The sequence below is a fragment of the Homo sapiens genome, chromosome 9, assembly GCF_000001405.40.
Source record: "Homo sapiens chromosome 9, GRCh38.p14 Primary Assembly".
In the NCBI taxonomy this organism is placed as follows: domain Eukaryota; kingdom Metazoa; phylum Chordata; class Mammalia; order Primates; family Hominidae; genus Homo; species Homo sapiens.
The window spans coordinates 138,259,762-138,284,556 of record NC_000009.12 but is presented as its reverse complement, the minus strand read 5'-3'; the positions used below and the strand labels follow the sequence as shown (position 1 = coordinate 138,284,556).

Here is a 24,795-nt window from a genome sequence, read left to right as displayed (position 1 = left end):
CACTGCACTCCAGCCTGGGTGACAAGAGTCAAACTACATTTCAAAAACAAAAAACAAAACAAACAAAAAAAACAAAACTTGAGGCCTGGCCTTCTGCTCCTCTCCAACCTCCCCTTCTCTGGGCCCAAGCCACCTTGGCTGAGGAGGGGGCGAGGAGGTGTGAGCCCCTGCCAGGAACCCCCTGCCCGGACCAAGTGCTCGGCCCCCAGGCCTGCGTTCAGTGAGGCCTCCCGTGGCGTCAGCATGTTCGTGTGGAGGAATGTGGAAGGTCACTCTGCGGCCGTGTTCTCCTGGTACTCCATCCCCTTCCTGACCCCTCCCTGCAGCCACACGAGGCCCAGCAACCTGCCAGTCACTCAGTGGCCTCCAACCAGAGAAAACAACCTGCCAAGTTGGCAGCCGTTGCTCATGAGCGTCCACCAGGTGGGACAGGGAGTGTTGACCCTGGGCAGCCCCCTGGAGCCACCTGCCCTGAAAGCCCAGGGCCCGCAACCCCACACACTTTGGGGGTGGTGGAACCTGGTAAAAGCTCACCTCCCACCATGGAGGAGGAGCCCTGGGCCCCTCAGGGGAGTCCCTGCTGGACAGTGAGACAGAGAATGACCATGATGATGCTTTCCTCTCCATCATGTCTCCTGACACCCAGTTGCCTCTACCACTCAGATGATGTCAGGCCCAGTCCCTCAGTGCCCTGCGCAAGGAACAGGACTCATCTTCTGAGAAGGATGGACGCAGCCCCAACAAATCAGACAAGGACCACATCCGGTGGCCCATGAGTGGCGCTCATGATCTTCAGCAGGCGGCACCAGGCCCTGGCGGGGCGCACCAGGGTCATCCCAACCAGGATAACCGGACCGTCAGCCAGATGCTGAGCGAGCGGTGGTACACCCTGGGGCCCAATGAGATGCAGAAATACAACCTGGCCTTCCAGGTGAAGGTGGCCCACTTGCAACAAGGACCGAAAGAAGTCCAGCTCAGAGGCCAAGCCCACAAGCCAGGGGCTAGCAGGAGTGTAACAAGGGCTCGTGGGAGCGGAGCATATCAGAGATGGGCACTGCCACTGCCCCTGGGGTGTCCTCTGAACTCCTGTCAGTTGCAGCCCAAACACTCCAGAGCTCGGATACCAAGGAGCAGCTTCTGTGGGGCAGAACGGCTGCACACAGTCAGGGAACCTGGCTCAGCCTGGCCCAAGCCTTCTCCCACAGCGGGGTACACAGCCTGGACGGCAGGGAAATAGACCGTCAGGCACTACGGGAACTGACACAGGTGGTGTCTGGCACTGCATCATACTCTGGCCCAAAGCCTTCTACTCAGCATGGAGCTCCAGGCCACTTTGCAGCCCCTGGTGAGGGAGGTGACCCGTGGGCAGCCCTGCTGCCGCCCACGTGAGCTGCTCATTCCCAGCACATGGCCAGCGAGGTCATAGCGAGTGACGAAGAGCACACGGTCATCCATGAGGAGGGGGTGATGATGTCATTGCTGATGATGGCTTTAGCACCACCGACACCGATCTCAAGTTCAAGGAGTGGGTGACCGACTGAGAGTGGGGACAACTCTGGGGAGGAGCCAGAGGGCAACAAGGGCTTTGGTGGGAAGGTATTTGCACCTGTCATTCCTTCCTCCTTTACTCCTGCCGCCCCTTGCTGGATCCTGAGCCCCCAGGGTCCCCCGATCCACCTGCAGCTTTTGGCAGTCTATGGTCACACCCTGTCCTCCTCCTACACATACTCGGATGCTTCCTCCTCAACCTTGGCACCCACCTCCTTCTTACTGGGCCCAGGAGCCTTCAAAGCCCAGGAGTCTGGTCAACGCAGCAGAGCGGGCCCCCTACGGCCCCAACCCCTGGGGATGGGGGCCCAGGGACGCCTTCCAAGGTGGCCTGTTTCCTCCCAATGGATCCTGCCACCTTCTGGTGCAAGAGACCTGAAAGTGTGGGCGACCTGGAGCTACCAGGCTCCTCAGTCATCAGGGTCCCTCCCAATACTAAGGCTTTCCTAGGCAGGAGCTGGGCTGAGCCACCCGGGGGGCAGAGCCTGAAGAGAAACTGACTGGGCTTTCGGGGTCGGGGCAGAGGGAACCCCACGGACATGGATCCCACACTGGAGGACCCCACCGCGCCCAAATGCAAGATGAGAAGATGCTCCAGCTGCAGTCCAAAGCCCAACACTCCCAAGTGTGCCACGTGTGATGGGGACAGCTTCCCCTTTGCCTGTACAGGTGGAGAAGCCGAGGACAGGCTCAGGGAACCGGAGACCGAGAAGGCGCTGTCCTCTTCACTGCACGTACCCTGGACCAGTGCCGGCCCTGATCATGCAGCTCTTCCAGGCCCACTGCTTCTTCCTGTCCACTAGGCCACAGCCGCCCTCCAGGCCCACTATGCACACATCTTCCCCTCCAAGGTTTGTTCTGCCCCTGCCCTGACTCCCAGCCCTGTGGGGGTCCTGACCGCACCTCACCTGGCTCAGACTCTTGACGCTGCCCTGGCTGCCCCACCACTGCTTCTGCCCGAGAGTCACGTGAGGCTGAGAGTAGGGGCAGGGGCAGCAGTGGTGCCAGTTGGGGGGCGGTCCAGTGGGAGGAGCCTCAGCCTCGCAGGCTGCTCCGTGGGACTGATGACTGCATGATCTTCTGGGCACCTCACGGATCTTCAACTGCAGGTGAAACGGATGCTGGTGGTGGGTGCAGGGCCGCTGGGAGCTGCTGCATGGTTCCCAGAGGCTGGACTGAGGCAGGTGCCAACTGAAGCTGCTGGGGCAGCATGGGCAGGATGTTCTGCACACAAACCTTGGAGAAGAAGATGTGTGCATAGCAGGTCCACTGCTGCTGCCCCTGCCCTGACTCCCAGCCCTGCCTGACCCCACCTCAACCTGCTCAGGCTCTGGCACAACCCTGGCTGCCCTGCCACTGCCTCTGCCCCAGAGTTGGGGCCTTGACAGCCTGGTTGGAAGGGGACACCCCAGCCCTGCCTCAACACCTGGGGGTCTCCATAACTAGCACAGGCAGGTGGGCAACCCCAAAGATCCCAGGACTCACAGTACCCCCTGAGAACATGGACAGTATGTGGGGGTAGCAATGGAGGGCAGGATGGTTATCTTCTCCCAGGTGAAGCCATTTAATCCTTTCAGTTTGGGACGGAGTAAGGCCTTCCTCTTTTTTTTTTTTTTTTTTTGAGACCGAGTCTTGCTCTGTCGCCCAGGCTGGAGTGCAGTGGTGCGATCTTGGCTCACTGCAACCTCTTCCCGCCGGGTTCACGCCATTCTCCTGCCTCAGCCTTCCGGGTAGCTAGGATTACAGGTAGACGCTACCACGTCCGGCTAATTTTTGTATTTTTAGTACAGACGGGGCTTCATCATCTTGGCCAGGCTGATTTCGATCTCCTGACATTGTGATCTGCCTGCCTCCCCCTCCCAAAGTGCTGGGATTACAGGCGTGAGCCACCACGCCTGGCCAAGGCCTGCTCCTCTTATCTATACCCCCTACCCCTGCAGCTGTGCCGGGGGAAAGCTGGGCAGTTTCCCTCCTCCGAGCCCCTGTACATACCATGAATTGTGGGACCTTCAGAGCTTTTCACTTTTCGGAAAATAGCTCCTGCTGGGGCTACAAGATGGAGTGTGAAGAGGGCCTTGGGCCACAGGGAGGCGCCTGTGGACTAGGGGGAGTTCATGCACCCCTTCTTTCCCCAGAGGGGCTGGACTCAGGTGAGTATGGGGGTGGGGGCTCCTGCACTTCGACACAGGCAGCGGGAGGGTTTTCTCCCCATTCCCTCTGCACTCCCAACTTGAGCTATACTTTTTAAGAAAGTGATTCACCCTGCCTTTGCCCCCTTCCCCAGAACAGAACACGTTGATCGTGGGCGACATTTTTCATTGTGCCAAAAAGTTGCCATGACCGTCATTAAACCTGTTTAACACCAAATAATAAGGAAAATAAAATAAAAAACTCGGGCTTGACGCAGAAACTCACTCCAAATAAATTACCTACCAAAACATTTACATAATGGTGGAAATATTCCAAAATTCAATATTTTGGGATTTATACACAAAAGATAAACAAATTAGAGGCCAAGAGGCTGCCGGAAGGGAAAAACGGGGCCTGGAATGGCCGACGTGAGGAATGAGCTGGGCCTAAAGAGGCCACTGGCAGGCAGGAGCTGGACCTGCCGAAGTGGCCGAAAGGCAGGAGCTTTGGACTGGGGAGGCCGCAGTGAGGCGAGAGCTAGCTGGGCGTGGAGAGTCCGCTGTGAGGCCGAGGCCGAGGCCGGGCCCGTGCAGGCCTTCGAGAGGCAGGAGGCCGGGCCTGCAAAGGCCGACTGGAGATCAAGTTCTGCGCCTGAAGAGGCTGCCAAAAGTCAAAAGCAGGGCCTGCGAAGGCCGCCGAGAGCCATGAGCTGGGCTGGGCTGAAAGAGGCCACTGGGAGGCAGGAGGAGCTGGGCCTGGAGAGGCTGACTCGAGGAAGTTTTGCACCTGGAGAGGCCGTCGAGAGGACGGAGCTGGGCCCAGGGAGGCCGACTTGCTGCTCTTCCAGGCCCACTTCCAGGCCGACTTGAGGACGACTTGGGCCTGCAGAGGCCGCCGGGAGGCTGGAGCTAAGCCTGGAGAGACTGACTTCGGGACGATTTGGGCCTGCGGAGGCCGCCGGGAGGCCCAAGCTGGGCCTAGAGGAGCCCACCGACCGGAGGCCATTTGGGGCCTGCAGATGTCATCGGAGGGCCAGGAGCTGAGCCTGGAGAGGCCACCGCGAGGCCTGAGCTGGGCCTGGGGAGCTTGGCTTAGGGAAGTTGTGGGCCTACCAGGGCCGCTGGGAGCTGGGCAGGAGCTGAGTCCAAAGACGTTGTTGGGACCTGGAGTCGGGCCAGAGTCCGGCCTGGAGATGCAGCCGGGAGGAAGAGCTGGGCCCGGAGGGGGCGCCGGGAGGCTGCAAGTGGGTCTGAGAGGCCAACTTGAGGAGGCCTGGCCTCTGCCTCCCGCATTGCCCAGCTGTTCCTCCTGGCTGCATCTCCCACCTCCCAGCAAACAAGCTCTTTTGGCTCAGCTCCCGCCTGCGTTTGTAGACCCCGAAGTTTCTGCAACCAAGCTCTTCAGACCCACATCCCTTCTCCCAGTGACTGAACAGTCCCAGCTCCGGCTGGAGAAGGGCGTCTGCAGACCCCGCTGTTGCCTCCCAGGGGAGTCTCCAGGCCCAGCTCTCGCCCCACCGCGACCTCCCAGGCCCAAGTCCCTGCCTACCTCCCAGCAGCCCGAGTGCGATCCTGTTCCTCCCTCACGGTGGCCTGTTGAGGCAGGGGGTCACGCTGACCTCTGTCCGCGTGGGAGGGGCCGGTGTGAGGCAAGGGCTCACACTGACCTCTCTCAGCGTGGGAGGGGCCGGTGTGAGGCAAGGGGCTCACGCTGACCTCTCTCAGCGTGGGAGGGGCCGGTGTGAGGCAAGGGGCTCACGCTGACCTCTGTCCGCGTGGGAGGGGCCGGTGTGAGGCAAGGGGCTCACACTGACCTCTCTCAGCGTGGGAGGGGCCGGTGTGAGGCAAGGGGCTCACGCTGACCTCTGTCCGCGTGGGAGGGGCCAGTGTGAGGCAGGGGCTCACGCCTCTGGGCAGGGTGCCAGAGGCATGAGTTGGGCATCAACAGGCCACCGTGAGGGAGGAGCTGGGCCGCACGCGGGCTGCTGGGAGGCAGGCAGGGACTTGGCCCCGGGAGGCCGCCGTGGGGGCAAGAGCTGGGCCTGGAGAGGCCCCTGGGAGGCAAGGGCGGGGCCTGCAGAGGCTGTTCTCCAACCAGTGCTAGAACTGTACAGGCCACCAGGAGGCAGGAGGTGGGCCCTCAGAGCTTGGCTGGAGAAAGTTCGGGGCCTACAAAGGCGGTTGGGAGCTGGGCAGGAGTTGAGCCAAAAGAGCTTGCTTACTTGCTGGGAGGCAGGGCTGGGAGAGCCCGACTTCAGGACAACTTGGGCCTGCGGCAGTCGCCGGGAGGCCCAACCTTGGCGTGGAGGAGCCCACCGACCGGAGACCATTTGGGGCCTGGAGATGCCATCGGAGGGCAGGAGCTCATCCTGGAGAGGCCACCGTGAGGCCTGACCTGGGCCTGGGGAGCTTGGCTTGAGGAAGCTGTGGGCCGACCAAGGCCGCCAGGAGATGGGTAGGCACTGAGTCCAAAGAGGTTGTTGAGAGGCAGGAATCGGGCCTGGAGACCCAACCAGGAAGAAGAGCTGGGCCCGGAGAGAACGCCCGGAGGGTGCAAGTGGGTCTGGAGAGGCTGACTTGAGGAGGTTCTGGGCCCGGAGAGGCCGCCGGAAGGGAAAAACTGGGCCTGGAAAGGCCGTTGTCAGGAATGAGCCCCATGGGCCTGAAGAGGCCACTGGCAGGCGGGAGCTGGGTGTGTAGAAGCTGCTGAAAGGTTGGGAGCTTGGCTTGGGGGGTCCACAGTGAGGTAGATGCTGGGCGTGAAGAATCTGCTGTGAGGCAGACGTTGGGACTGTAGAGGCTGACGGGAGGCAGAGGCTGGGCCTGGAGGGGCCACCAAGATGCAGGAGCTGGGCCTGGAGAGGCTGCAAAGAAGCATGAGCTGGGCCTGGTGAGGTCGACTTGAGAAAGTTCAGGGCCTGGAGAGAAGGCTGGGAGGCAGGAGCTGGGTCTAAAGAGGCCATTGTAACGATGGAGCTGTGCCTGTGGAGGCTGTTGTGAGGCAGTAGCCTCATCTGCGGAGGCTGCCGTGACGTAGGGTATGGGCCTAAATAGGCCATTGTGAGTCATGAGCTTGGTCTGTAGAGGCTGACTGGAGAAAGTTCTGGGCCTGGAGAGGCTGCCGGGAGGTAGGAGCTGGGCCAAAAGATGTAAGCACATTTGCATTTATTAGGCACTTTATTTCCATTATTACACTGTAATATATAATAAAATAATTATAGAACTCACCATAATGTAGAATCAGTGGGCGTGTCAAGCTTGTTTTCCTGCAACTGGATGGTCCCACCTGAGCGTGATGGGAGAAAGTGACAGATCAATAGGTATTAGACTCTCATAAGGACAGCGCAACCTCGATCCCTCACATGCACGGTTCACAACAGGGTGCGTTCTCCTATGAGCATCTAATGCTGCTGCTCATCTGAGAAGGTGGAGCTCAGGCGGGAATGTGAGCAAAGGGGAGTGGCTGTAAATACAGACGAAGCTTCCCTCACTCCCTCACTCGACACCGCTCACCTCCTGCTGTGTGGCTCCTTGCGGCTCCATGGCTCAGGGGTTGGGGACCCCTGCTCAAGTGCATCCAAAACGACCCTTCCCACACCAGTCTTCACAGTGGTCAAGGGCAGCAACCACTTAGCTCCCAAGGCATGTGCCTCAGCTGGCATTTCGTCACAATCAACAGTAAGTGGTAGCTTGAGTCACTGTGAGGTCACCTACTGGAAATCACCAGCATCCCATTTCCCACTGGCAAAGAGCTCAGCACTGCCCCCTGGGAAACCAAACCTATGCCCAAATCCCATCTGTGTGGGTTTACCTCCTGGGACCCTTCCTAACATATAACCTTCATAACATACTTGAGAGGCTGAGGTGAGACAATCGATTTAGCCCAGGAGTTTGAGATCAGCCTGGACGACATAACTAAATCTCATCTCTACAAGGACGAGGTGGGAGGATCACTTGAGCCCAGGAATTTGTGGCCAGCCTGGGCAACAAAAGAAGACCCCATCTGGCCAACATGGCCAACCTGGCCACCACGGTGAAACTCTGACTCTACAAAAATGATCTGGGCATGGGTGACATGCGTGTGTAGTCCTAGCTACTTGGGAGGTTGAGATGGGAGGATTGCTTGATCTCAGAAGGCCAAAGCTATAGTGAGCTATGATCACATCACTGCACTCCAGCCTGGATGGCACAGGAAGATTCTGTCTCAAAAAAAAGAAAAGAAATATATATTTAATCTCTGTCCCTGGTTCCTGGCACAGAGCTTCTAAAGCTCTTACAAAGACCTCAGTGATAGATGTGACAGGAGCATCTTTTGTTTTAATATTTGGTCTTGGTCCCAGGTTTCTAACACAAGAGCCTCTAAGAACTTTGGGATCTCCAGCATGGTAAGAATGCATTTGGGGATGTTGTTGAGATGACTGGGTGACTGCAAGCTCCTAAATTTCTTCAAGAGGAGGGCTGATTACCATGCAACCACATGGTAAGAGGCTTGGAACTTTCAGCCTCATGCACTGAACTCCAGGGGGAAGAGGGGCTGGAGACTGACTTAATCACCAACAGCCAAAGGTTTTATCAATCATGCTTGCATAATAAAGCCTCCATAAACACCCTGAAAGGGGTTTGCAGAGCTTTCAGGGTTGCTGGACACAGGAGATGCTGGGAGGGTCGCATGTTCAACAGAGGGCATGGGAGCTCTGTGCCTCTCCGAACTTAACTTGCCCTGGGTATCTTTCTTTTTTTTGAGACAGGATCAGGCTCTTTTGTCCAAGCTGGAGTGCAGTGGCACAATCTCAGCTTACTGTAACCTAAGCCTCCCCAGTCCCCAGCTCAAGGTATCCTCTCATCTCAGCTTCCCTAGTAGTTGGAACTCTAGGTGCACAACACCACACCAGTTATTATTATTATTTTTTAATTTTTTATAGAGACAGGTTTTCACCATGTTGCCCAGGCTGGTCTCAAACTCCTGAGTTTAAGCGATCCTCCCACCTTGGCCTCCCAAAGTGCTGAGATTACAGGCATGAGCCACTGCATCCAGCATGCACGTCTCTTTCATTGACTGTTTCTGAGATGTATCCTTCACAATGAACCAGTAATAGGAAATGAACTGGCCAGATGTGGTGGCTCACATCTGTAATCCCAGCACTTTCAGAGGCTGAGGTGGGAGGATCACTTGAGACCAGGAATTTGTGGCCAGCCTGGCCAACACAACAAGACCCCATCTATACAAAAAATAAAAGAAACTAGCCAGATGTGGTGGTGCAGGCATGTAGTCTCAGCTACTAGGGAGGCTGAGGTGGGAGAACCACTGGAACCCAGACAATCAAGGCTGCAATGAGCTATGACTGCACCATTGCACACCAGCCTGGGCAACAAAATAAGACCCTCTCTCTCAGAAAAAAAGAAAATAAACTGTTTTTCTGAGTTCCGTAAACTGTTCTAGCAAATTATTAAACCCAAGAAGACAGTTACGGGAACCCCCGATTGGTAACAGGTTGGTCAAAAGTATGGTGACAACTTAGGACTTGCCATTGTCATCTGAAGTGAGGATGGCCTCGTGGGACTGAGCCCCTAACTTGTGGGGTCTGTGCTAACTCCAGGTAGTGTCAGAATAAAGTCATGGGATACCCAGTTAATATCCAGAGCACTGAAGAATCTGGTGTAGAAACTCCATACGTACATTCAGTCGGAAGTGTGTGAGTAGAGACAAACATGGGCTTTTCTGTCACCTACCTGCTTAACTGCATAGGAGAGGCAATATGTGGTGCTCATGAACAAAGCAAACATTAAAGTCAGACCAGACCCAACATTTGACTCAGTCTTAATATCCAGGTGAGCCTGCGCAAATCATTCATTATTCCTAAGGTTTTCATCACTCCATTCATAAAATGGGGATAACTGTGGCACCTACATGTGATTCTGTGAGAATTAACGAAATATTATGCTTGGGGTTATTGTGATCATTATACCTGTTCCAAACTATTTGACAAGGACAGTGATGGATGAAGACATCAAAAAATCAGAAACTGCAATGAGGTCTCTCAGGCAAAATTCCATACAAGCAAATTACTGTGTCTACAAAGCATTCCTGCCACACTTAATTCACCATTCCCTGAACAGAATATGCCATCTTCGTTGTTCAGGTCTGTACAGTGCTGGTTTCCCTTCCCGGACAGTTTGCGCTATCCCATCCCGGCCCATTCCCCATCCCTCCACCTCCCCCTTCCCTCCCCACTCTCATACAACTCTTCCTCATCTTTCAGGACTTGGCTTCAATGTCACCTTAACTGGAAGCTTCTCTCACTCTCCAGAAGAGCTTCCCATTGCACCTGATGCATGGGAAACATAATTTGATCATTTTTAAGTTACAGTCCAAATCTTTTTGTACCTGAATAACATGTTGCCCAGTCAGTCTCTCTTCCTGGATTCACAAGTCTTTCATGGTAGATCCAGCTGGAAGTGACAAAAAGACATCTTTTGACATAAAGGGATGACACAGACAGACATAAGTTCTTAAATGTCTTAAATGTTATGTGAGAATTAAACAGAATTCAAAGACTTGTGGGGAGCACTTAGGAAGTTACTGGGAATGTCATGAAGGGTTAATTTGTATTTTATTTTATTTTTTGAGACAGTCTCATTCTGTCACCTAGGCTGGAGTGCAGTGGTGCAATCAGGCTCACTGCAGCCTTGACCACCTGGGCTCAAGTAATCTCACTTAATTTTTATTTGGTTTAAGAAAGTCTTGGTTGAGGGTGGTGGCTTATGCCTGTAATCTCAGCACTTTGGGAGGCTGAGAGAGGTATATTACTTGAGGCCAGGAGTTTGAGATCAGACTGGGCAATATATTAAGACCCTGCCTCTACCAAAAAACAGAGTGAATGTGTGGAAGACAATTTTTCCACAGACTGGGAATGAGGGAATAATTTCAGGATGATTCAAGTGCATTACATATATTGTGCACTTTATTTCTATTATTACTACATAGTAATATATAATGAAATGATTCTACAACTCACTATAACGTAGACTCAGTGGGATCTCTGAGCTTGTTTTCCTGCAACTAGACTGTCCATCTGGGGTGATGGGAGACAGTAACAGAATATCAGGCATTAGATTCTCATAAGGAGTACACAACCTAGATCCCTCGCATGCACACTTCACAACAGAGTTTGTGCTCCTGTGAGAATCTAATGCTGCTGCTGATCTGACAGGACATGGAGCTCAGGTGGTCATGCAAGCGATGGGAGGGGCTAGAAATACAGATGAAGTTTCCCTTCACTCGCCTGCTGCTCACCTCCAGCTCTGTGGCCCTGTGGTTGGAGACCGCTGCTCAAGTGCATTTGAAAGGAACCAACCCACGCCATTCTTCAGAGTCATCTTTACTGCTGCAGTGGTCAACTTGTAGCACCCCTAAGCTCGCAGGACATATGCTTCAACTGGCATTTCACAATCAACAGTATGTGGCAGCTTGAGTCATTGTGAGCTCACATCCTGGAAATCACCAGCATCCCATATCCCATTGCAAGGAGCTCAGCACTGCTCCTTGGATAACCAAACCTATTCCCAAATCCCATCTGTGTGCGTCTATCTCCTGGTACCCTTCCTAGCATCAATTCTGTATTTGTAGGAGTCCAATCAGGAGACACAAACCACTCAAAAGTTTAAACTAGAATGAGCAAGATGGCTCACACCTGTAATCCCAGAACTCTGGGAGGCCAAGGTGGGTGGACTGCTTTGAGCTCAGGAGTTTGAGAACAGTCTGGGAAACATGGCGAAACCTCGTCTCTACAAAAAACACAAAAATCAGCTGGGTGTGGTGGCACTTACCTGTAATCCCAGCTACTCGGGAGGCTGAGGCAGGAGAATTGCTTGAGCCTGGCAGGTGGAGGCTGCAGTGAGCAGAGGTTGTGCCACTGTACTCCAGCCTGGGTGACAGTGTGAGACCCGGTATCAAAAAGAAAAAACGTATATATATATGTAAATTTAATATAAAAAGTATTAATTTTGGCCAGGCAAAATGGCTCATGCCTGTAATCCCAGCACTTTGGGAGGCCAAGGCAGACAGATCACCTGAGGTCAGGAGTTCGAGACCAGCCTGACCAGCACAGAGAAACCCCATCTCTACTAAAAATACAAAATTAGCTGGGCATGGTGGCACATGCCTGTAATCCCAACTACTCGGGAGGCTGAGGCAGGAGAATTGCTTGAACCCAGAAGGTGGAGGTTGCGCTGAGCCGAGATAGCGCCATTGCACTCCAGCCTGGGCAACAAGAGTGAAACTCCATCTCAAAAAAAAAAAAAGGTATTAATTTTTACAGAGGATCAGCACAATGAGGGACACACTAGCACAAAGTAAAGACAACTCTAGAGAATACGGAACTAGCAGAGGCCAGGCATTGTGGCTCATGCCTGTAATCCCAGCAATTTGGGAAGCCTAGGCAGGAGGATCGCTTGAGGCCAGGAGTTGGAGACCAATCAGTGCTAAATAGTGAGACTCTGTGTCTACCAAAAAAAAGAGACATTAGCCAGGTGTGGTGGTGGTGCACACCCGTAGTTCCAGCTACTTGGGAGTCTGGGGTGGGAGAAATCCCTTGAGCCTGGGAAGTCTACACTACAGTGAGCCAAGATTGTGCCACTGCACTCCAGCCTGGGCGACAGAGTGAGACCCTGTCTTAGAAAGAAAAAAGAAAAGAAAGTGTTAATCCCCCTATGGGAATCTCCTCTTCTCCTGCCCTCTCTGGAACCTCACTTGTCAGTTCTTCCTCCCACTTTCCTGTATCTTTAACCTATCCCCCACTTTTAGCTCCTTCCCATCATCATTTAAATTACTCAAACTTCTTCTGTTTTAAAAACCTCTCCCTAAACTCAGGGAGAGGTCTTCTGCACACACATTGAGCCATCTGCTCTTCCCGGTGCCTTCTCTACAGCAGCCTGAGCCATGTCTCTAATCTATGAATCTCATCATGTTACTCCCCCATTTACATCACTTCTCCTTGCCTCAGGGATTAAGTCCAAACTCCTTAACAGCCCCTGCTCTGCCCTGCCTTGCAAGGCAGCCTCACTGCTTGCCCCTCTCCATTTCATCTGCTATGGAGTCCAACTGAGCCTCATCTGCCCCTTGAACGCACACTCTTTCTCCTCTGGGAGTCTCTGAAGTGGGTAATATCCTCTGCTTATAATATGCTTCCCCTTAAACCTCTACTCTCTTCCTAGCTAGCTTTGACTCCTCTGTCACTTGTCCGCTTTGGCATCACCTCCTCATAGAAGACTTCTATGACTCCCGAGATTCTCAGGAGCATGGCAGGTGAAGTGCTCCTCCCATGAATGGATGGAGATTAGGGAGTGTGTGTTATTCATGCTTAATTCACCAGTGCTTAGCTGAGTACCTGGCATAAAATAGTTACTGTGGTGGCCAAAGTAATAACCCCCACCGCCACCAATTGCTCATGTCCTATGTTACACAGCACAGTTACAGAGGAAGGGGGAATTAAGAGTGCAGATAAAATTAATGTTGCTCATCAGCTGACCTTAAAACAAGATTATCCTGGAGTATCTAGGAGAGCCCATGTAATTACAAGCATTCTTTAAAACTGGAAGAGGGAGGCAGAAGGTTAAGAACCAGAGACGGTGGGCACAATGGCTCATGCCTGTAATACCAATACTTTGGGAGGCCAGGGTAGGAAAATCCCTTGAGTGCAGGAGTTCAAGGTCAGCCATGGCAACATACTGAGGTCCCATCTCTACAACAAAATAAAAACAAAATTCACTGAGTGTCACGATGCTTACCTGTAGTCCCAGCTACTGGGAAGGCTGACATGGTAGGATTGCTTGAGCCTGGGAGTTTGAGGCTATAATGAGCCATGATAGGACCACTGAACTCCATCCTGAGTGACAGGGCAAGGTCCTGTTTCTGAAGAAAAAAAGGACATTGGAATCAGGGCCCTCTCCATCCTGAGGTGCCTACAAGGCATCTCTCTCTGCAAACGAGTAAACATCACCCTCCAACTCCTTACAGAGTGGAGCAACAGGAAAACTCCTTCACCTCATTTCTGTGCTGCTTGGGAGGCCTGGACAGCCCAATAACCAGCTCCTCGCTGATGAAGCAATCAGGAAATGGCTCGAGTTGAGCTAAGGAGAATTTGGATCCTTCCTTTGGTTCTCAGTAGGCAGGGTAGGGGCCAGGCATGGTGGCTCATACCTGTAATCCTTGCACTGTGGGGGGCCAAGGTGAGAGGATTGCTTGAGGCCAGGAGCTCAAGACCAGCCTGGACAACATAGCAAGACCTGGGTGGCACACACCTGTGGTCCCTACTACTTGGTAGGATGAGGTGGGAGGATTGATCACTTGATCCCAGGAGTTTCAGGCTGCAGTGAGCCATGATCACACCACTGCACTTCAGCCTGGGTGACAGAGCCAGACCATGTCACAAAAAGTTAGAAAAAAAAAAGAGAGAGGGAGAGAGACTATACACAGGCACCACCACATTTGGCTAATTTTTAAATATTCTGTAGAGACAAGGTCTTGCTAGGTTGCCCAGGCTAGTCTAAAACTCCTGGCATCAGGCTGGGCATGGTGGCTCATGCTTGTAATCGCAGCACTTTGGGAAGCTAAGGCAGGCAAATCACCTGAAGTCTGGAGTTCGAGACCAGCCTGGCCAACACGGTGAAACTCTGACTCTATCAAAAATACAAAAATCAGCTGGGCAGTAGTGGCGTGTGCCTGTAGTCTCACCTACTCGGGAGGCTGAGGCAGGAGAATCACTTGAACCTGGGAGGTGGAGGTTGCAGTGGACCCCATCACTGCACTCCACCCTGGGTGACAGAGCGAGACTGTCAACAACAACAACAACAACAAAAACAAAAACAACAACAACAAAAAAAACTCCTGGCATCAAGACATCTTCCTGTCTTAGCCTCCCAAAGCCCTGGGATTATACTGTTTCCTATAATTGAAGACACTTGTTCTTATACTGCTTTAAGGTATAAAGGAAGAAAAAAAAAACAGATAATGGCAAATGTTGGTGAAGGCCGGGCATGGTGGCAGCCTGTAATTCCAGAACTTAGGGAGGCTGAGGTGGGCAGATCACTTGAGGCCAGGAGTATGAGACCAGCCTGGGCAACATGGTAAAATCCCACCACTACAGAAAAATATAAAAATTAGCCAGGCATGGTGGCGTACACCTGTAATTTTCAGCTACCCAGGAGGCTGAGATGAGAGAATCACTTGTGCCTGGGAGGTCACGGCTGCAGTGAACTGTGATGGCATCATTGCACTGCGGCCTGAGAGACAGAGCAAGCCCCTATCTAGAAAAAAAAAATGTCAGTGAAGATGTGGAGGAATTGGAACCCACATACATTACTGGTGGGAACATAAAATTGTGTAACCATTTTGTTTGGGTATTTCTTTTCTTGTCATTTTAATTGGATTTTTAAAAAATCAAGACGGGGTTTCACTATCTTGCCCAGGCTGGTCTTGAATTCACGGGCTCAAGCCATCCTCCTAGCTGAGCCTCCTGAGTAGCTGGGATTACAGGTGTGAGCCATTGCACCCAACTGGTATAGCCACGTTAGAAAACATTCTGGCAGTTTCTCAAAAGGCTAAATGTACAGTCATCCTATAATGCAACAATTTCACTCCTAGGCATATATCCCAGAAAAATAAAAATATATGTCCACACAAAAACTTGTACAACAATCTTCATAGCAGCATTATTCATAATGACCAATACATGGAATACATGGAAACAACCCAAATATCCACCAACTGATGAACAGATAAACAAAATGCAGTGTGTCTCTACCATGGAATACTGCCATAGAAGGAATGAAATATTGATACACACTATGACATAAAGGAACTTTGAAAACACTGTGCTAAGAGGGAAAAAAAGCCACAAAAGATCACATATTGTACAATTCTATTTGTCCAGATTAGGCAAATCTATAGTGACAAAAAAATTAATCAATGGTTGCCTAAGGCTGGGGGCAAAGGTAGGTGGGGAGAGTAGGAGGTAGTGGCTAAGGGGTATGGATTTCTCTATAGGGTAATGAAAGGTTCTAAAAGTGACTGTGGTGATCGATGCACAGCTCTGTGAATATTCTAAAACCTACTGAATTGCAGATTTCAATAAATAAAGTGAATGGTATGTGAATATTTTAATAAAGCTATTATTTAAAATAATAATAATAGGGGGCTGGGCACAGGTGGTCATGCCTGCCTGTAATCCCAGCACTTTGGGAGGCTGAGGCAGGAGGATCACTTGAGGTCAGGAGTTTTGAGCCCAGTCGGAGCAACATGGCAAGATCCCGTCTCTATGATAAAAAATTACCTGGACATGGTGGCACATGTCTGTAGTCCCAGCTACTTGGGAGACTGAAGTGAGAGAACCACTTGAGCCCAGGAGTTTGAGGCTACAGTGAACCATGATCATGTCACTGTACTGTAGCCTAAGCAACAGAGCAAGACGCTGTCTCTGAAAAGGAAAGAAAACAAATGCAAGTTTTTATCACTTTGTGAGTGTAGCCAAGTTGGAGGAGAAATAGACAATAATAAAAGAGCACTGAATAATGACAGTGAGTGGCTGGTTAGGCTCAGTTGCTAGCTAAATGGCTTCTAAAAAATTCAATAAAGTTACAGCTCTGGGGACAGTCATGTAGTCAAAGAATGAAGGCGAAATTCATTACAATTGCCCATGGTCTTTATTTACATGCCTTCTAGTGAAAAATTCCTAAGTGCCTAAACAGCAAGTCTGCAATGATAGCAGCTGTTTATTAAAGACTACAAAAAAGAAATGGAGGCCGGGCGTGGTTGTTCACATCTGTACTCCTTGAATTTTGGGAGGCTGAGGCAGGCAGATTGCCTGAGGTCAGGAGCTCCAGAGGAGCCTGGCCAACATGGTGAAATCCCATCTCTACTAAAAATACAAAAATTAGCTGGGTATGGTGGCGGGCACCTGTAATCCCAGCTACTCGGGAGGCTGAGGCAGGAGAATTGCTTGAACCCAGAAGGTGAAGGTTGCAGTGAGCCAAAATCGCACCATTGCACTCCAGCCTGGGTGACAAGAGAAAGACTCTTATCTTAAAAAAAAAAAGAAAAAAAAGAAATGGCATCTTCTTCAAGAATTACATCGTGTTTCATGATAAAGAAGCTCTAATTTTGCATTTGTTCAAGTATTGATGAGATTTACCCAATATGACACCCATCTTGGATAAAATGCAAACAACACAATTTCATTTTCTCATTAACAAAACCGATTAAGTAGTCTAATATAAATTGCGATCTTATTAAAAACTGATCCGATTTAAAAAATTATGGAATTATGGAGCCAATAAGATGTTACAACCTGTTCCAAGGGGAATTCCAAAATCCACACATATCTGAGACCATCAAGTATGATGAAATATATTTGATTACTATATTGAAAAATAAACTGATTACATAGCCAACAATTGGACAGGGGTCTCCTCATCCACAGCCACACAAACCCGATCATGCAGCTGTATGGTTACAAGGCCTACATAGCCTAGAAGGGACTGGTCTGACTTGAGATTTCATTTGTATTTGTATTTTGAGACAGGGTCCCACTCTGTCACCCAGGATGGAGTGCAGTGGTATAATCATAGCTCACTGCAACCTTGACCAACTGGGCTCAAGAGATGCTCCTGCCTCAGCTGCCCCCATACCTGGGAATACAGGCAAGTATCACCATGTCAGGCATTTTTTTCATTTTTGTAGAGAGAGAAGACTTGCTATGTTGCCCAAGCTGGCCTCAAACTCCTAGAATCAAGAGATCTGCCCATCTCAGCCACATGAGTAACTGGGGCCATAGGTACATACCATCATGCCTGGCTATATTTATTTTCTTTTATTAAATTTATTTTTTTTATTTTTGTAGAGAGGAGGTCTTGCTGTGTTGCCCAGGCTGCTCTCAAACTCATGGCCTTAAAACATACTCCCATCTCTGCCTCTCAAACTGTTGGAACTATAGGTGTGAGCCACTGTACCTGGCCTGACTTGGGATTTCTTTTATCTAGCATCCTTTACTTGGTAGGATTGGGAAAAGCAGTAGTGTTTTTTAAAATTACTTAATAATTCAATCAGAATCAAACTCAACCTTGACCACTGCCTTCTCTCACAGCTCACATCCAGTCTGTCAGGAAATCCTACTGACTGACTTCAACATGTATCCAGGCTCTAACCATCTCTCACCACCACCATGAACCCCGTCAGGATCACTATCATCTCCCACCGGGATGTTGCCACAGCTTGGCTCCCATGCTTCTACCCAAATCTTCCCATAGTCTTTCTCAACTCGGCAGCCAGGTCGTGCTTTTAAATCAGGAGACGGATCATGTCGCCTCTCTGCTCAGAAGCCCTCGGTGGTTCCCATTTTAGTCAGAGCAAAAGCCAAAGCCCCAGCAATAGCGTCCCAGGGCTTACACGATCTGTACCGATCCCAGCCCAGCAACTCCCTGGCCTCCTCGCTGACTTCGCTCCATCTCTTTGCTCCACTGGCCTCCTTCCAGAGCCTCAGACACACCAGAGAGTTTCCTCCTAATGCCTTTATCCTGTTGACTCAGCCTACAATGCTCTTCCCTCAGCACCTTGGCCAGCTCCATCACCTGCTTCAAACTTTTGCTCAATATTCACTTATGAGGCCAACCCTGACCACTCTACTTAACACTGCCATCTGTCCCCATTCCCACCATGCTCATTTCTTTCTTTCTTTTTGAAACAAGATCTTGCTTTATTGCCCAGGCTGGAGTACACTGGTGCAATCACAGCTCACAGCAACTTCAACCTCCCAGGCTTAAACAATCCTCCCGCCTCAGCCACCCTAGGAACTGAGACTACAGCTGCATGCCACAACACATGGCTTTTATTTTTTTTTTTTTGAGACGGAGTCTCGGTCGCCCAGGCTGAAGTGTAAGGGTGCGATCTTGGCTCACTGCAATGTCTGCCTTTTGGGTTCAAGTGATTCTCTGCCTCCCAAGTAGCTGGGATTACAGGCACCCACCACCACACCTGGCTAATGTTTGTATTTTTAGTAGAGATGGGGTTTCACCATCTTGGCTAGGCTGGTCTTGAACTTCTGACCTCGTGATCCACCCTCCTCGGCCTCCCAAAGTGCTGGGATTACAGGCGTGAGCCACTGCGCCTGGCCTTTAAAAAAATATTTTTTTTAGACATGAGGTCTCATTATGTTGCCCAGGCTGGTCTTAAGCTCCTGGGCTTAAGCGATCCTCCCACCTCAGCCTCCTAAAGTTCTGGGATTACAGGCGTGAGCAACTGTAACATGAGGTCCCAGCTTCGTGTTCATTTTTTGTTGTTGCTACAACAAAGTACCCTACATTTAGTGGCATCAAACACCACAAATCTACCATCTTACAGTTCTGGGGGCCAGAAGCCCAACTAGGTCTATTAAGGCTAAAGTCAAGGTGTCAGAGAGGCTGCATTCCTTCTGGGGGAGGCTCTAGACAGAATGTGCTCCTTTGCCTTTTCCAGCTTCTAGAAGCCACCCCCATTCCTTGACTTACCTCGTGACTCCATATTCAAGGCCAGAAGTGCAGCATCTTCAAATCTCCCTCTCTGACCTCTTCTTCCATTACCACATCACTTTCTCTAATTCTGACTCTCCTACCTCATTCTCTTATAAAGATCCTTGTGATTGGTGGGTATGGGGGCTCCCATCTGTAATCCCAACATTTTGGGAGGCCAAAGAGGAAGGATTGCTTGAGGCCAAGAGTTAGAGATCAGCCTGGGGAAAATAGGAAGATCCTGCCTTTACAAAATTAAAATCAGCTGGACATGGTGATGCATGCCTGTAGTTCCAGCTACTGGAGAGGCTAAGGTGGGAGGATTGCTTTAGCCTAGGAGGTCAAGGCTGCAGTGAGCTATGATCACATCACTGCACTCCAGCCTCAGTGGCAGAGTGAGACTCTGTCTCCGATATAAGAAAAGAAATATACATTTGGTCTCTGCCCCTGGTTCCTGGCATAGAGCTTCCAAAGCTCTTATAAAGCCCTTCGTGACAGAGGTAATAGGAGCATTTTCTGTTTTGATATTTAGTCTTAGTCCCAGGTTCCTGACACAAGGGCCTCTAAGGTCTTTCAGATCTGCAGCATGGTAAGAATGCATGTGGGATGCTGTTGAGCTAACGGGGTGGCTGCAAGCTCCGAGACTGCTTCAGGAGGAGGGCTAGCTGCCAGAGAAAGCAACCACATTTTTTTTTTAAAACAGAGTTTGGCTCTTGTAGCCCAGGCTGGAGTGCAATGGCACAATCTCAGCTCGCTACAACCTCCACCTCCCGGGTTCAAGCAATTCTCCTGCCTCGGCCTCCCGAGTAGCTGGAATTATAGGGGTGTGCCACAATGCCTAGCTAACTGTTGTTATTTTTAGTAGAAACGGGGTTTCACCATGTTGGTCAGGCTGGTCTCAAACTCTTGACCTCAAGTGGTCCATGTGCCTCAGCCTTCCAAACTGCTAGGATTACAGGAGTGAGCCACCGCACCTGGCCCCAACCACATTTTTTGAGGCTTGGAACTTTCAGCCTCACCTGCTGAACTCCAGGAGGCAAAAGGAACTGGAGATTGACTTAACTACCAATGGCCAGTGATTTTATCAATCATGCCTCCATAAACACCCAAACAGCAGGGTTTGGAGAGCTTCTGTGTTGCTAAACACAAGGAGGTCCTGGGAGGGTAGTGTGCCCAACAGAGGGCATGGAAGCTCTGTGCCCCTCCCCACTTACCTTGTCCTGTGCATCTCTTTCATTGGCTGTTCCTGAGATGGAGCCATTACATTGAGCCAGTAATAGAAAATAAGGTGGCCAGATGCACTGGCTCATGCCCGTAATCCCAGCACTTTGGGAGGCAGAGGTGGGCGGAATCACTTGAGCCTAGGAATTTGAGACCAACCTGGGCAACATAAGAAGACCCCATCTATACAAAAAATAAAAGAAATTAGCCAAATGTGGTGGTGGGAACCCTGTAATTCCAGCTACTTGAGAGGCTGAAGCAGGAGAATCACTTGAGCCCTGGATGTTGAGGCTTCAATAAGCTATGATTGCACCACTGCACACCAGCTTGGACAACAGAGCGAGGCCCTGTCTCTTAAAAAGAAAAGAAAAAAAACTTGTTTTTCTAAGTTCTGTGAGTTGTTCTAGTAAATAATTAAACTCAACAAGAGGGTCATGGGAAACCCTGATTTCTAACTGGTTGGTCAAAATACAGGTGACAACCTAGGACTTGCAACTGGCATCTGAAGTGAGGGTGGTCTTGTGGGACTGAGCCCCTAACCTGTGGGTTCTGTGCTAACTCTAGGTAGTGTCAGAATGGAATTGTGGGATACGCGGTTGGCATCCAGAGAGTTGGAGAACTGGTGTAGAAACTCTGCACACACATTTGGTCAGAAGTCTGTGAGTAGAGAGAAACGTGTTGCAGGAAGTCAGGGACCCCAAACGGAGGGACTGGCTGAAGCCACAGCAGAAGAATATAAATTGTGAAGATTTCATGGACATTTATTAGTTCCCCAAATTAATACTTCTATAATTTCTTAGGCCTGTCATTACTGCAATCTCTGAACATAAATTGTGAAGATTTCATGGACACTTATCACTTCCCCAATCAATACCCTTGTGATTTTCTATGCCTGTCTTTAATCTCTTAATCCGCTCATCTTCGTAAGCTGAGGATGAATGTCCCCGCAGGACCCTGTGATAATTGCGTTAACTGCACAAGTTGTTTAAACAATATGAAACCTGGGCACCTTGAAAAAAGAACAGGATAACAGCAATTTCAGGGAACAAGGGAGATAACCTTAAACTCTGGCTGCCTGTGGGCCGGGTTGAACAGAGCCATATTTCTCTTCTTTCAAAAGCAAATAGGAGAAGTATTGCTGAATTCTTTTTCTCAGCAAAGAACATCCCTGAGAAAGAGAATGCATCCCTAAGGGGAGGCCTCTGAAATGGCCGCTTTGGGGACGGCTGTCTTTTACAGTCATAGATAAGGGATGAAATAAGCCCTGGGTTCGCGTGGCGCTCCCAGGCTTATCAGGACAAGGAAATTCCCGCCTAATAAATGTTGGTCAGATGGGTTGTCTGCTCTCAAACCCTTTCTCCTGATAAGATGTTATCAATGACAATGCGCGCCCGAAACTTCATTAGCAATTTTAATTTCGCCCCAGTCCTGTGGTCCTGTGATCTTGCCCTGCCTCCATTTGCCTTGTGATATTTTATTACCTTGTGAAGCATGTGATCTCTGTGACCCACACCCTATTCGTACACTCCCTCACCTTTTGAAAATCACTAATAAAAACTTGTTGGTTTTGCGGCTTGGGGGGCATCACGGAACCTGCCGACGTGTGATGTCTCCCCTGGACATCCAGCTTTAAAATTTCTCTCTTTTGTACTCTTTCCCTTTATTTCTCAGACTGGCTGACACTCAGGGAAAATAGAAAAGAACCTACATGAAATATCAGGGGTGAATTTCCCCCGATATCACACTGGCTCTTCTCTCACCTGTCTACCTGCTTAACTTAATAGGAGAGGCAATGCATGGTGCTCATGAACAAGGCAAGCATTAAAGTCAGACCAGACTAACATTTGACTCAGTCCTAATATTCAGGTGAGCTTGGGCAAATCGCTCATTAACCCCAAGTCTTCATCATTTTGTGCATATAATGGGGATAACTGTGGCACCCACCTGTTTTTGTGAGAATCAATGAAATATTATGCTTGATGTTATTGTGATCATGATACTATCTGACAAGGGCAGTGATGCATGATAACATCAAAAAATTAGAAACTGTAATGAGGTCTCTTGGGCAAAATTCCATACAGGCAAATTACTGTCTCTACAAAGCATTTCTGCCACACTTAATTCACCATACCCTGAACAAAATGTGCCATCTTCATTGTTCAGGTCTGTATAGTGCTGGTTTCCCTGCCTGGGCAGCTCACTCCATCCCATCCCAGCCCAATCCCCATCCCTCCACCTCCCCCTTCCCTCCCCACTCTCATACAACTCTTCCTTATCTTACAGGACTTGGCTTCAATGTCACCTTAACTGGAAGCTTCTCTCCCTCTCCAGAAGAGCTTCCGATTGCACTTGATGCATGCACTATTATTTGATCATTTTTGAGTTACAGTCCAAGTCTTTTTGTACCTGAATAACATGTTGCCCAGTCAGTTTCTCTTCCTGGATTCAGAAGTCTTTCATGGTAGGTCCAGCTAGAAGTGACAAAAAGACATTTAAAAAAAAAAAAAAAGAGGGATGACACAGACAGACATCAGCACTTAAAAGTTTTAAACGATATGTGAAAAACAAAATTTAAGGGCTTCTAGGAGAAATGTAGGAGGGAAGGTGTTACTGGGAAATATGATAGAAGGTTAATTTTTATTTTATTTTATTTTTAGAGAAAGGGTCTTGCTCTATCACCTAGGCTGGACTGCAGTGGTGCAATCACAGTTAACTGCAGCCTCAACCTCCAGGGCTTGAGCAATATTCCCATCTAATTTTTATTTTGTTTAAGAAATGCAGTCTTGCTCTTAGCAAAGCTAAAGTGCAATGGTGTGATCATAGCTTACTGCAGCCTCAACCTTCTAGACTCAAGTGATCCTCCAGTCTTAGCCTCCCCAGTAGCTCGGACTACAGGTGTGCACTGCAACGTGTAGCTCATTTTTTTTTTTTAATTTTTAGTAGAGACAAAGTGTCACTATGTTGACCAGGTTGGTGGTGATCTCCTACACTCAGGCAGTTCTCTCACCTCAGCCTTCCAAAATGCTGGGATTACAGGTGTGAGCTGCCACACCTGGCTGAGGGGGTTAATTTTTAATTATATAAAGAGCTCAAAGCAAATATTAGAAGGAGCCTAAATGCCTCCAGCAGTTGACTGGTACTGGTAAATTGTGATACATCCATATAATAAAATATTATGCAACCATGAAAAGGATTAAGATAGATCAATAGGTATTGGCACAAATGTCCACGAAATATGAAAATATGAAGTGATGTTCAATCACCATGTACGTATCTTGAAGGATATGGCCCATTTTCTCAACTGCAATTATTTCCTGAGATAAGATTATGGGTCTAAAGAGTGAAGGACATTTTTCACTTATTTAAAAGTATTTATCATTTTTATAATTTAATAAAAGATTAAACAGATCATTGAATTAGTAAAAGACAAAGTAACTCTATAAATAAATGGAAAAGACACAGATACCCCAGGCATGGTGGCTCATGCTTATAATACCAGTACTTTGGGAGGGGGTGGTGGGGGGATTGCTTGAGGCCAGGAGTTCCAGACCAGCCTAAGAAACAAAGCAAGACCTCCTCTCTAGTAAAAATAAAAAAATAAAAATAATTGGCCAGGCATAGTGGCATGTGCCTATAGTCCCAACTACTGAGGTGGAAGGATCACCTGAGCCTAGGAGGTCAAGGCTGCAGTGAGTTGAGACTGTGCCACTACACTGAAGCCTAGGAGACAGAGCGAGACTTCATCTCAAAAAAAAAAAAAAGGACAATAAAGAAATAAAGCTAATAAGCTAACATAAGGAAAGATAAAATATGTGACAAATAGGCTGGGCACATGGCTCACAGCTGTAATCAAGCACTTTGGGAGGCCAAGGCGGGTAGATCATGAGATCAGGAGTTCGAGACCAGCCTGATCAACATGGTGAAACCACGTTTCTACTAAAAATACAAAAATTAACCAGGCATGGTGGCATATGCCTGTAATCCCAGCTAATAGGAGGTCTTTCATTTATCACACAGAAAATAACTTGTTAAATTATAATACCTGTGTGGGCGAAGGTGCAGTGAAATGGCCATTTTCTTGTAGTATTAGTGGTGTTTAAAATGTATATAAGCCTTCCAGCATAAAGCTTGGAAATTTTTTTTAAATCATACAGACAGTGACTCATTATACTGCCTCCTCCAACTCCTGGCCTCAAGCAATCCTCCCACCTCAGCCTCCCAAAGTGCTGGAATTACAGGCTGACAGCCACCATGCCTGAAAGCTTTGCAATTTACATCGAGGGTAATAAGAATGCTCATGCCCTGTGACTCACAGTAATCTCACTTCTGGAAATTTCACCTTTGGATATAATTCAACCTA

General features: G+C 49.5%; 1 long non-coding RNA gene and 2 pseudogenes across 2 annotated transcripts in view; 1 reads left to right on the top strand and 2 right to left on the bottom strand.

Annotated features, from left to right (window-relative positions):
* The first annotated feature begins 224 nt into the window (after positions 1–224).
* LOC102724447 (protein capicua homolog) lies at positions 225–3,888 on the top strand (annotated as a pseudogene).
* Positions 3,889–5,021: 1,133 nt separating this feature from the next.
* On the bottom strand, positions 5,022–7,858 carry LOC105376333 (uncharacterized; annotated as a pseudogene). Its single transcript, XR_930463.2, has 3 exons — positions 7,191–7,858; positions 5,736–6,812; positions 5,022–5,178 (listed from the first exon to the last, which is right to left on the bottom strand). The product of XR_930463.2 is annotated as an uncharacterized LOC105376333 (transcript).
* A 4,625-nt stretch (positions 7,859–12,483) lies between these two features.
* The window catches only part of FAM157B (family with sequence similarity 157 member B), a 55,218-nt gene continuing 42,906 nt past the window's right edge, over positions 12,484–24,795 (bottom strand). The window contains exons 13-15 of the long non-coding RNA NR_146178.1: positions 22,842–22,906; positions 20,429–20,618; positions 12,484–13,417 (exon numbers count right to left, since the gene is read on the bottom strand). This is a non-coding gene — a long non-coding RNA (family with sequence similarity 157 member B). The remainder of the gene's footprint in view (positions 13,418–20,428; positions 20,619–22,841; positions 22,907–24,795) is intronic.